The sequence below is a fragment of the Homo sapiens genome, chromosome 20 (genome assembly GCF_000001405.40).
Source record: "Homo sapiens chromosome 20, GRCh38.p14 Primary Assembly".
Lineage (NCBI taxonomy): Eukaryota > Metazoa > Chordata > Mammalia > Primates > Hominidae > Homo > Homo sapiens.
This window is the reverse complement of record NC_000020.11, coordinates 19,664,269-19,677,301: the sequence shown is the minus strand read 5'-3', so window position 1 is coordinate 19,677,301 and position 13,033 is coordinate 19,664,269. Positions and strand designations below refer to the sequence as shown.

The window sequence follows — 13,033 nt, the reverse complement described above, 5'->3', positions numbered from 1 at the left end:
TTTTTTTTGGAACGGGGTCTTGCTATGTTGCTGAGGTTAGTCTCAAACTCCTGGCTTCAAGCAATCCTCTCGCTCCAGCTTTCTGAATAGCTGGGATCACAGGCATGCACTACAGTGCCCAGTGATTAGGTTTTGCTTTTAAAGTACAAAAGCAAACTCATGTATTATACATTTATCAGGGTTTAGAGAACAGGATAATAATACTATACAGTGAGGGCTTTCTCAAAACTGGATACCAGGTTAAACTAAGCTTAACTTAGCTTGACAGCTTAACTAAGCTGTCACATTCCGTTCTCATGGAATATATATAATAATAGTAGAAATTATTATTAATCTTGTTTTGCAGAAGAGGAAACTGAGATTCAAGATGGCTGAAGAACTTGGCTGAGGTCCCATGACTGTCAGTGGCAGGGGGCTCTGCTGTCAGGGCTGAATGTGAGGCACTGGTTCTTAACCACCAGCACACATACCCCATCTGGGGAACAAATCCTAGAGCAGTGACCTGGGATGTACAGAAAGCAATCCTTGCCAAGGCCAGGCATGCTTTATGCTCCTTGAAGGTTTCTACCTAACTGGACAATCTGAAATTGCTTTTTGACCTTCAGATAGAATGTTTAAAGTCATTTAAAAACTCTCCACCTAGGAGGCAGCTGACGATTCTAATATATGCTGTTTTTTTTCTTAACTACTGTTGCTGTTTTATATTTTTAATTGAATGTTTTAAATTTTGTGCTTGCACCCTGAAGCTATTTTATTGTGAAGCATGCAATTTTATAAATCAGATTTGATAAAACCCAATGATTAAAGCCTCTGATTGCAGAGGGGGATGGCTAAAGAGCAGAGATTTCAATTTAGAACTTAGGACCAGAATTTATGCAGAAAATTTCATGAGCACAGTAGCTTCCATTCCCAGTTTTATTTGTATCCTGCTGGTTTGAACAGCTGGAATGTTGGTAAAAGTGAGGCATCAGCAGAAACACACCTCATTAGCTTCCACATTTGGTACGGTTTGGGGAAGAGGAGAGGATGTGTTCGCTGTACTATCTTACTGTACACGTGTCCTGCCAGCGACTCATGGGCTTCAAGGTGGCTTGGAAAAGGGGAGCAGTGGCTATAAGATGCATGCCAGCAAAATTCCTCAAGTCTTCTTCTCTCTGGCCACATCTGTTTTTGAAGAATACTTAACTCTCTGAAGCCCTTAGTGAATTCATTTTGAAACATACTTTCATGAAAATTAAGATTCAAGACCCAAGATTAATGTTGGGCATAGAGCAGACACTGTGTGGCGATTCTTCCAGAATAATCAACTAATCCACTTTTGGGAGCTCAATTAGAGCCTCAAAATGTTAAAAAATTGAAACGATGCACTAGAAAACAGCAAAGGAAGATGTGTGAGTACACACACAGACAGTAGTTTGAGGCTTCCCCACTTTGGCACTGATTTGCTATATAGTTTTGCTCTTTGAGACAAAGAGGCATAAGATGGGTACTCTGATCTTTAAAGGCTTTTCCTTTGGGGGCTGGAAAGTTTGGAAAGGCTTTGGATCAACTCTGGTTTTCATGACAGCTCATCTATTGGTATTTTTAAATGATTAGTTCTACGGTGTGTAACTTCTGGTTTCTTCATTAGTTACCTTATGGTACCAGGATATGTATGACTAAGGTCCTACTCTAGGAATGCCCTTCTCCACTAAGCTCCAGATGTGGGGTCTACAGTAACCATTGGATGGCTCCCCTCACAAATGTTGGCCCCCATATTGAGTAGACTGGCAGCAGATTGCCTACAGCCCACCCTGGGCACTGGCCAAGCCAGCTTCTACCTTCATTGCTCCTGTGATATTTGCCAATGTCCGTGTTGATTTCTCTCAACAAGTGTCTCAGTCACTGGTCACCAGAATTAACTTTTGTCAGGCCTCAACAATAAGAAACCTTAATGTGTCAGTTCCAGACTGCCACCTGATATGTCCAAACTGGCCATTGTTGATGGATTTCTACTTTCTTGCCCCTAGAGAAGGCAGTCACTCCTACGGCTACATATGTTGGGGAAACATGGGCTAATTTAGAGGAAAAGCAGCAGCTCCCACGGGGTTGGGCAGTTGCAGCACAGAACATCTCTGCATTCTTTATAACCTCCTCATCCCAGTGGTGCCTGGCAAAAAGATGAACCAGCAGGCTTACCACCATGGTGCTTACATTTAACTTACAGCATGGGAAACATTGGTCATACAATTCTTATTTATTTTTATTTTTTAATGAGATGGAGTCTCGCTCTGTCACCCAGGCTGGAGTGGTGGCGCGATCTCAGCTCATTGCAACCTCTGCCTCCCGGGTTCCAGCGATTCTCCTGCCTCCTCCCAAGTAGCTGGGATTACAGGCGCACGCCACCACGCCTGGCTAATTTTTGTATTTTTAGTAGAGATGGGGTTTCACCATGTTGGCCAGGCTGGTCACGAACTCCTGATTTCAAGTGATCCACTCACCTTGGCCTCCCAAAGTGCTGAGATTACAGGCATGAGCCACTGCGCCTGGCAAATTCTTGATATAAATAAGCTACCCCAACTCCAGGAGGGAAAAGAACATATGTCATAACATGGTGGTTTTAAAATACCTCAACAGTTCTTTGACATTTTTCCCTTCACTAAGTGATGCCAGCCCCTTGAGTGTGGACTGGACTTAGTGACTCGCTTCTAATAAACAGAATATGGTAGAAGTAATGGCGTGTGACTTCTGGGATATTATAAAAGGTGCTGCAGGGCCCTTCTTGCTCTCTGTCTTGAACCACTTGCTCTGGAGGAAGCCACTCAAGCAGCTCTAGGGAGGAGCCCATGTGGTGAGAAACAGCCCGCCAGTCAAGAGCCAGCATCGCTTGAAGGCAGGTTCTCCCACACCAGTCCAGTACATGATGGCAGCTCTGGCTGCAAACTCATGAGAGACTCTGAGCCAGAACCTTGCAGTTAAGCTGCTCCTGGGTTCCTAACTCTCAGACAATGTGTGAGATAATACATGTTTGTGCTTTTAAGCCACTAAGTTTTGGGATGGTTTGTTATGCAGCAGTGGATGACTAATACCATATAAATAATGGAAGTCCACAGATATTTGATCCATGATTTCAGCTGTCTCTTAACTAACTCTTCATCAGTTACCTCATGATAACTCCATGCCAGGATATGTTTGATGAAGGTCCTACCCTAGGAATTCCCTTCACAAGCAAGCCCTAGAGACTGGGTCTACACAGACCACCGGATGGCTGGCTCATGTTGGCTGCCATATTGAGTAGACTACCTTGCATCTTCTCTCACCCTCTATAGCAGTGTAACATATTGAGTTTTATCTCCTTTGTGTTAAGAAAGAGAGTGAAGAAACCTCCCAGAGCTGCCAGATCCTGAAGAGAGATTAGGGGTTCTAGAGAGTTCTCAAGTGAAACACTGAAGCTTTGAGTCTATCATCAAATATGGGCTGGAAGGGTCACTACAATTGATACTAATCAAAATTACAGTGACTCACAACAGTCTGGCAGGGAGCCAAGTGACTGTGATGATACACACTGAAAAACCAGTCAGATACCCACCCCAATCCTCTTCCCACATCATCACATAATGTGGAATGCAAGAAACAGTTTTGGATAAGAAATGAAAAATTTTACTTACTTCATGATGACAATGTAGATAAGATACATCAGCACAAGGACTAAAGACTCCCACCTGTGTGTAAACCAAGAACAGTTAAAGACAGTCATGGACATCTGTGAAACTCACCTGCCTCATTTTTAAAGACATATTTGATGCAAACGGCCAGGATAGTAAGGAGAAGGCAGACGGTGCTAGGTGACGGATATTTCCTGGTCTAGAGACATTCTCTATGCTGCATAAGGCTGTCAACCATCTTTCTCTTCTCTCCTCACCTAAAGGGAAAATGCCCCTTCCTCTCTGTTATTTGTCACCTAAAAGAGCTCTTTGAAAGCAGCAAGCCTTTCATACACGTTGCTGAATATAGGTCAATATGTATACATCTGGTCTCAGCTTAATCATTCACTGAAACTATTCAGACATATTTACAAGGGGAAACTAAAATTAGAGGAATTGCCGGGGATGCCTGAGGGATTGCTGTATATATAGGAGCCAGGCATAAAGGGTAGAAGTGGGGAGAGAGGCAGGCAGACAGACAGACGGAACCTGGGCAGGGAAGGTACCAGTCGAAGAGTAAGAAGGAATAAGTGGGAAAACATTCCACAGGAAGGAAGAAAAGAAAAACCTGCTAGAATGTGCCTTGAGCTTCTAATAGTCTGAATACTTCTGTTTTCTTTATCTTAGTGGCTTCCAACTAAAAACCAGGAGCTTGTTTTCCAGGTTTCGCTTTAGCTACAGAATCAAATCAGCTCATTGAGGGAGTAATTTTGGCTTCAGTGGTAGGTTACTGGAGAATGGTCAGATGAGGAAACTCCAGGTTATACCCATCCTTCCTTTTCTCTTTTCAAATTCCATGTCTAGAAGCTGATCCTAGAGAAATATTTGGTCAAATGTGAAAAGGATACATACACAAGGGTTTTTCCTGCGGCAGTGTTTATAAAAAAGTGAAAAGCTGGAAGGAAGCCAGGTGGTTATAAAATAGGGCACTGGGTACATAAATGATACGTAGGTTCATGTATCCATTAAGAATGATTATGCAGGCTGGGCACAGTGACCCGCTCCTGTAATCCCAGCATTTTGGGAGGCCGAGAGGAAAGGATCACTTATGTCCCCAAGTTCCAGAACAGCCTGAGCAACATAACAGGACCCCGTCTCCAGAAAAAAATTAAAAAATTAGCCAGGTATGGTGGTGTGCCCCTGGAGTCTCGGCTACATGGGGAGGCTGAGGCGGGAGGATTGCTTGAGCTCAGGAGATGGAGGCTACAGTGAGCTATGATTACACCACTGCACGACAGCCTGGGCGACACAGTAAAACCCTTTCTTCCATCTCCCTTCCAAAACAAATTATGCAAAGATGTAGGTATTTATTCTAGAAAGTGCTCAGATGCACTATTGAGAGAGGAAATCAGGGTATCCAAGCCCTTTCAATTTCTGCCACATTTCTCAGCTTCTGTCATGGCAAAACTTCTTAAAGGGCTGTGCACACTGCGTTTCAGTGCCTCTCATTCAGTTGGCAAATTTCTCTAGCCTAACTTCCACACCCCCCGATCTCCTGAATCACCTGTCAAGGGCACCAGTGATTTCTATCCACACCAGTCCAAGCATGAGTGGGTGGTTGTCCATCATCCTGTTCGATTTCCTGGTAGCATCTGAAAGGAGATCATCTGCCCCGCTTCATAAAACCCTCTCTTCTGACTGCCGAGAGGCCACACCCCTGGCTTCCTTCCTGCCCCCAGCTTCTCCTTCTCCATCTCCTTTGCCTCCTCCACTCCTTCAGTTCATCCTCTCATTATTGGGCCATCTTTATTGCCTATGTTTTCTCCCTAGGTGACCTCATCCTGACCTATTGCTATAAATACCAAATACATGATAATGACCCCCAATTTACACATCCACACCACACCTCTCTCCAGCTCCAGATTCATATATTTGGCCTCTGCACCTGGAAGTCTAAATGTCTATCAGAACAGAATTCTTCATTCTTATTTCCTAGCCTCCTTAAAACAAAAAAACAAAAAAACAAAAAAACAAAAAAAAAACCAACCCTGGGCTTTGTCCTTTCAGTCAACTGTACCACTCCCTGCCCAGTCAAGCCCAGAATCTGGAAATCAATATGGAGCACTCCCTTTTCCTCACTCCCATATCCATCGGACTCTGTGTCTCAAGTATTTCATCAATCACTGACTTCTTTCTTCTCTACTGTGCCCTCCCTAGGTCATTTTTCACTTCAACCTCTGAACTGGTTTCCTTGATACTATGGGAGCATGTCAATGCACTTCTTAAAATCTTTACTTCCCAAAATGCCTAAGAAAAAAAATGAAAGTTTCCTTTTTCCTTGCAAATCCTGGCCTTTTCTTCTGTCTCCATGTTGTCTTGTGTCCTATCTGTGCCCCACCTCAATGGCCTTTCATTTGCACACAGCCGTCTCTTTCCCTCTCCCAGAGCCTTTGCACTGAATGTTCTTTTGGCCAGGAATGGCTTTGCCTTCACTCCTTGGCTGGCCACTTTTATCCTGCAGATACCAGCTTTTAAATATCACCTCCTCCAAGCAATCTTCCCTGCCTGCCCCTGCCCGACTTTCTCTCACATGACCCTGTTTATGTTCTTCAAACCTCTAAGCAGTCTGTGATTATCTTGTTTATATATTTATTACTCATTTATTATGTAACTAACACCTGTTTCTAGCAGTCACTTGACACCACTCCTCACACCTGACACCTTCCCTGGTATCTGGTGTCTCATTATCCAGAGATTTAAAATGCCGACAACTGATTTCTCCCCACGCAGACACCCCCAGGTCTTGCCCACTTGCCTCTTCTCCCCAGCAGAAAGCAGCCATCAGCTCATCTGTGCAGGTGACACTCCCTCCAAACATCAATTTTCAGTTGCAAAATGCCTCCAGTGGCCTGAACATAGTTCTTATCTCATCGACACCAATGTATACGTAGCATACACTTCATGGTGAAAAGTGAGATTTATTCACAGCCCATTCATTTGGAAGGAACAGGCTCCCAGGTTCTGAAGGGATGTCACGTTATTGCTTAGATGCATTTTAATAGATTCAGTGAGAAGTCACCAGAAAATGAATCAACTTTAATGAAATATTGTAGTCAGATTGAATTAAGTCCAGCACTTTATAAACAGGCGTATGTATGCTCTTTCTAATTCTTTTAGATCTTTTCAATTTTTTACTCATCAAAAGCCCTTCTGTTGCAATATTCAAACCAGGTTCTCTCTGGCCATTTTGCAGAGATGCCTGTAGGATGAGATTCCTTGCTTTTGTTGACATTTCAAGTTTGCTCTGTTGGCTTTCAGACACAGGGCTCACCAGGCTTCCTCCCCATTGAACCCAGTGGGCTCTAGGAGGCCTCTGTGCCGCCCCACCTGCTGTTCCTCATGCATTTTTGACCTGGTTGAATTTGGATCATCAAGCCTTGGCCTAATGCTCTTCAGGGCCCTTCCCCCCACCCCCTCTCCTCAGTGTGGTGAGCCTCTCCATGTGGTCCCACAGTTACATGTGAAGGGTCTGCATCCCTCCAGCCTGAGAGAGCTCCAGGTCGGGCCAGCTCTGGTTTTGTACGACATGTTTCCCTGGCGTAGAGGAGGTGCTTAGGAAGCATCCAGACCTTGGAAGTCACCCGGCCCTCCTTGGTCCCCTTTCTCGCCCTTTCACCTAGGACGCTGGGCACCTTCTCCCCTTTCCTCCTGAGCACACCTCACCCGCTGTCCTCTGAGGATCCCATTCTGTAGCTGATCTGGGTTTGTTTCTTCCCTCCCCAGGCTTCCATTTTGAATCATTTTCAACGGGTCCCTGATTCTCACCAAAGACGGTTCCTTCTCAGATGTGAGGACTGCTCCTCTCCTCACCTGGGTACACTGTTGGCTCTGGTTTCCTGAACACATCCCAGAACAGCAAAAGCTGTTTTCCAGCCCCACCAAGAAGAGTTTCCAGGTTGCAATCCCAGGGTCTCTTTTCTCTCCCAAAGTCACAACTTCGGACTCAAAAGAAGAAACCAAACCATCGCCCTGCGTTCTTTAGTTTTCTTGTTGGGCCTTCAGACTCCCTGAAGACACATTCCGAATTCCTTCTGGCAACAACACGGGAATGCTCTGTGGGTCGAGCATACATCCTAATATGTGGGCCTCTGACACTTTTTTTTCTTTTTTTTTTTTTGAGACAGAGTCTTGCTCGGTCACCCAGGCTGGAGTGCAGTGGCACAATCTTGGCTCACAGCAACCTCCGCTGCCAGGGTTCAAGCTATTCTCCAGCCTCAGCCTCCCGAGCAGCCGGGACTACAGGTGTGCATCACCATGCCTGGCTAATTTTTGTATTTTCAGTAGAGATGGGTTTTCACCATGTTGGCCAGGCTGGTCTCGAACTCCTAACCTCAAGTGATCCACCTGCCTCAGCCTCCCAAAGAGCTGGGATTATGGGCGTGAGCCACCATGACCTGCCGATGCTTCCTATGTCAAGTGTCTTTTAGCACATAGGCACCTAACCGAAGAGCACTCACCACTATTCCCCTGCCTCTTCCCTGCTAAGAGAACCCCACCCACTAGGTTGAGGCAGCAAATGGAGCCCTTCTGATCTCAAAGAGGGTGCGCCTGACCCCAGGCCCTGAGCATGAATCATGATTGGTCTAAAGTGGTCATTCTAATCTCCCTGGCTGCTCAGTGGTCAAGGCAGACCCTTCTGCGACCAAAGAGATGCAAGGTGGAAGTGTGCCAAAAAGAACAACAGTGCCCCTTCTTCCTCCTTCCTTTCTTCAATATGAACTTGGTGGCTGGGGCTGCAGCAGCCATCTTGGGACCATTAGGCAAAGGCCAGGGGAAATGCAGAGCCACAGCACCACCTACATCCGGGGCACTGATAGTAAGAAAAATACACCAGTATGTATTCAATACGCTGTAGCTGGTTCTTCTAGTACCTGCTACTAAAATCAATCCTGACTAACTGTCAACCACCATTTTTTTGACTGAATGTGACTTCCTGCAGAATGCTGCTTCAGGAATGGTGAAAGAATCTGAACTGCATGACAGGGGTACTTTGTCCTGGTGTATTTGTATTTGACAAAGCTCACTTCCTCTTAAAGAGTACTGTAGTTTCGAAATAAACACAATTGAAATTTGTTTCCTTTTGAAGATTTTTTGGGGTGAACTGGTTACCTGCCTTGAAATCTCTAGGCCATGCTGGAATGTTCTATAATGAGGAATGGAACTCTCTGTTAAAGGTATTTTCAAAATGTTACTGTGCTTTAATTGCACAGACTGAAGACTCTGATTTTAAAGAGAGAAATCAGCACCTAGACGCACCATTTCAGCAAAATAAATGGTCATGATTGGCTTGGTAAGAAGATAGAAGAAGTGAACAGTAAAAAATTCTTAAACTTCCATTATTTTTCATCCATTAAATGAGAAGTTGAAATCCCCGGGAGTCCCAAAGTAGATAAGGGCCAGTGGCACAGACTTTAATTTCTCAGCCTCACTCACGTGCAAAATGCTCTTCATCAGCCCATGCGTGTAATAACAAGTTACACGACAGGCCAGTGCTCTGGGAAGAATGTAGTTCTGGTGCCACCAAGGCCCCCCCAGGCCAATTCTTCCCTGGAAGCCACAACTGTGCATGACTTATGATTCCAATGCCCCCCAGATAGATCAAGACACACGAGGGGATTTGCAACTCATGTATCCATGGCCCTCCAAGCCTCTTACTCATAATTGGATGAGAGGGAGCCTCGGTGCTCAGGGCGAGGGCTCTGATGACTTGTACCTTCCAGAATCTAGACCCTTCTGCTGCAGCCTCGGGCACCTACCCTAGGATGGGGTTACCTAACATCATGGGAAAAACTTAGGAATGAAGATGAAATAGACACTCCTTTTCTTGCTCCAAACCATCTGAACTATCCCGAGATGTTTTGAGGATACGGAGTGAAATGGGCTGATGGTGAAGCCTGCTTTCTTCACTTGCCATGGCTTTCATACAGCAATGCCATGGAGGTGGTAGAAAAGACGGCTCCCTCTAAGGCTGACAGCAAACCATCCTGGGTAGCCTTTCCTAACATGTTTCTGCACAACAGCTGCACACACATTTCTGAGATCAACTGTGATCACAACTTGTTTGTCTTTTGGGGAGTGTCATTAGCAAAGACTAGCACCACTGAGCAACGTTGAAGCACCTACTGTTTGCTAAGGCGGAGCAGTGGTTGTGCTAACTACGCCATCAGCTTCTGGAAGTTTTCTTGTGCTGCACTTTATCCCCAAGGACAGGGGGGAAAAATGCCCCTCACTCCATTTGGCAGCCACCTCCAGGATGATATAACAAGGAGGTTCTCTGATCTGGGGTGCTCCTGGGCATGTCAATTCCTTTCAGCCTATTGGTCACTATGATTCAAAGAAGACCTCCTTCTCATTTTCTCCTAGCTGTCTCCTCCTCTTTCTTCTTGCAAAGAGGAGAGTTAGCAAAAGTATCTTAATACCTTGACATAGCAAGTAACATTTATCATCAATGTGATGGGTTCTCCACTGCCCCCTAATTCTGAAAGTCAGAGATGTCCTCAGATACAGAGAGGCCCACACCAACAAAGAGTTAGCAGTCATTTTGCTGAAAGTGAAGCCTGGTGGACTCTACTTTTTCTGGCTCATTCACAGCTTTCAATAATACCAGGGAGATTTTCTACCTACGCCTATTCCTAATATGTTATTTCACATTGCTTACCTCTGTAGATCAAATATTCGGAAAATATGTAACGAGAATGCACAATACACTCGATTTCCATTTCCATTTCAAACATGCTTGATTTGCTCAGAACCCATCTCGAAAACGAGGATTTGAACAGTTGGACCAAATGCAAATGTCTTGCCATATATTTAATTTGGGCAACAGTTTCTGTTCTCGAACTCCTGACCTCAGGTGATCCGCCCACCTCGGCCTCCCAAAGTGCTAGGATTACAGGCATGAGCCACCATGCCGGGCCAATTTGGGCAACAGTTTCTATCAAAATAAAACATCCCCAACAACACCAATTTTCAGAGCTCTAAGATCTTTTGAAAGTCAGGGGGAACTTTAATGGATTAATGGTCACAGAAGTGCCTGGGTCCTAATTCCTAAGATAAACGTGGGATTGGGAACATGGAGCTTGGTTTGGACACAATTTTTTTTTTGGGGGGTGGGGGATGGAGTCTCACTGTGTCGCCCAGGCTGGAGTGCAGTGGTGTGATCTTGGCTCACTGCAAGCTCCACCTCCTAGGTTCATGCCATTCTCCTGCCTCAGCCTCTTGAGTAGCTGGGACTACAGGTGCCTACCACCATGCCCGGCTAATTTTTTGTATTTTTAGTAGAGACGAGGTTTCACCGTATTAGCCAGGATGGTCTCGATCTCCTGACCTCGTGATCCACCCGCCTCGGCCTCTCAAAGTGCTGGGATTACAGGCATGAGCCACTGTGCCCGGCCCAAAAATCAGTCAAATCTTAACTCTACCCTAGCACATGGCTGACTGTAGAAAGACACAGCTAAGCCATGATGTCCAGACATAGGATAATAAAGACATTTAGATATTAGGATCTCAAATAGAACCCCACCACTCTAGCCCAAGAGGAAAGGTCTTGACTCTGTGAAAATGAATTTAATTTCTCCCCTGAGGTGTGCAGAGGGTTCCTAGGAAATTCTCCTCATTCTAAGCTGTCATGACACTTCCCTTTCTTTCTTGAATCCCAACACTGGTCTTCAATATATTTGGCTCTGCAACATAACATTCAGAAATGAGAAGGGGAAAGAGAGGTACTTACCAGGAAACTTTTTCATCATAAATAAACTGTGAAAAAATAAAAAGAATAGAAGATTAGACACACACACACACACACACACACACACACACACACACACGCTTTAAGGCTGCACGCAGTATCCACCTTGTTCCTGGGATGGTGTAATCAGGACTGGGTTGTCCTGGGACCTGGAGTCCCTGTGGGTAAACTTCCCTCTGTACTGGTTTGGCCTTTGGCCAGTGTTAGTGGAAGGAGGTGTTGGTAGATCAGGGTGGGCATGTGTGGAAAAGAACAGCCTCAGGTAATTCCCTTCTTCCTGCAATTTCTGTACAACATCAGAGTGACAGGGAAGTGTGACTAACCTGCTTTGTAAAGCAAGGCCCATTGTAGAATCTTAGATCTGCAAGGGGATGTAGGAGCTCAGCAGGTTCTTCCAAATATTAGTCTCTGTAAGATTTCTGCATGTCTGTGCATCTTCAGTTTTTATGCAAGTGCTTGGACTTCTATGGGCTCAATTTTTTCTTTTAATTGATTTTTTTTTGTTTCCTTAAAATAATTTATTTTCAAAGGAAACTTCACATCACAACCAGAAGTAGGGGATCAACACTCCTTGCCATCACCCCGAAAAATAAGTGCATTAACAACAAATGGTGTTTGCAAATCCCATCTGGACACTGTTGGCGCCCAAGCCCTGGGCATGGTCCTGCCCTTTCACTAAGGAAGATTATTAGGGGTCAGAAGCAGTCAAAGGCACACTAGCACCCCACTGAGGTTTACTCATCAGTTAGGACTTGAAAGAGAATACAGAGAGAATACACGGCAGGATTTAATCTACTGAAGTCCTGGTCTATATACCATCTAAAATCATTTCCCACCTTGTGGGGGCATGGGGGGAAGCCTAGTGTAATCCTTTGATTATACAGGGAAACTGAGTCACAGAGAACATAAGTAATTTTCCTAGGCTTGCTCCATTTGCTGCAGAATTGGCTCGAGAACTCAGCCCCAGCTCCGAATTTGGTGTCCTTTTCATGACACACATGGCTGATGACATGTTGCCGAAACCAAATGAGTACACCTATATTTCATAGAAGTAGGAAGCCGAGGACATGGTTCATAGCTCTTTCTTCTCAAACTCCTGAAGGACAACTGCTTTGAGTATGGTCGTCTCAGAGCGGCCTTTCCTTTAGAGGCAGCAGCCCTCTGCAGACTGAAGCAGACACTTGCAGGACACTCTGGGTGTCAACTGCCATCACAACTTGGAGATGGGAAACTCAGTTAACAAAGCGGGCATGGCATCAGCCTCCAGCCAGGGCAGTAACCATGAGCTGGGTAGAGACGTAGAGAACACCTCAGGGCACCAGTCACAAAGCGCATAAAGCAACTCTTTCCAATTATCTTGAAGGTCAAAATGAGGATGAGGAGGAAGGAGCTGTGCTCATTTGTAACTCATTCTTCCCAACAAGCCATTGGAAATGTGGGCTTCATCATTTTTGTTACTTTCATCTTTATTATCAGATTCAACAAGTTGACATTGGGATGACAATGTCAAACTAGAATGGGCAGAGAATTAAAGAAATAAAGGCAACAATCTCATAATCCAGGTTGAATGGCATGGTACCCAACCCCTAGAAGGCATTGACAG

The 13,033-nt window shown here is 45.0% G+C and overlaps 1 protein-coding gene across 1 annotated transcript in view; it reads right to left on the bottom strand.

The window, feature by feature from the left end:
• Positions 1 to 13,033, bottom strand: part of SLC24A3 (solute carrier family 24 member 3) — a 510,285-nt gene that overhangs the window by 45,625 nt on the left and 451,627 nt on the right. Inside the window, exons 8-9 of the mRNA NM_020689.4 lie at positions 11,413 to 11,438; positions 3,648 to 3,701 (exon numbers count right to left, since the gene is read on the bottom strand). Coding sequence (NP_065740.2) covers positions 3,648 to 3,701; positions 11,413 to 11,438 — 80 coding nt within the window. The remainder of the gene's footprint in view (positions 1 to 3,647; positions 3,702 to 11,412; positions 11,439 to 13,033) is intronic.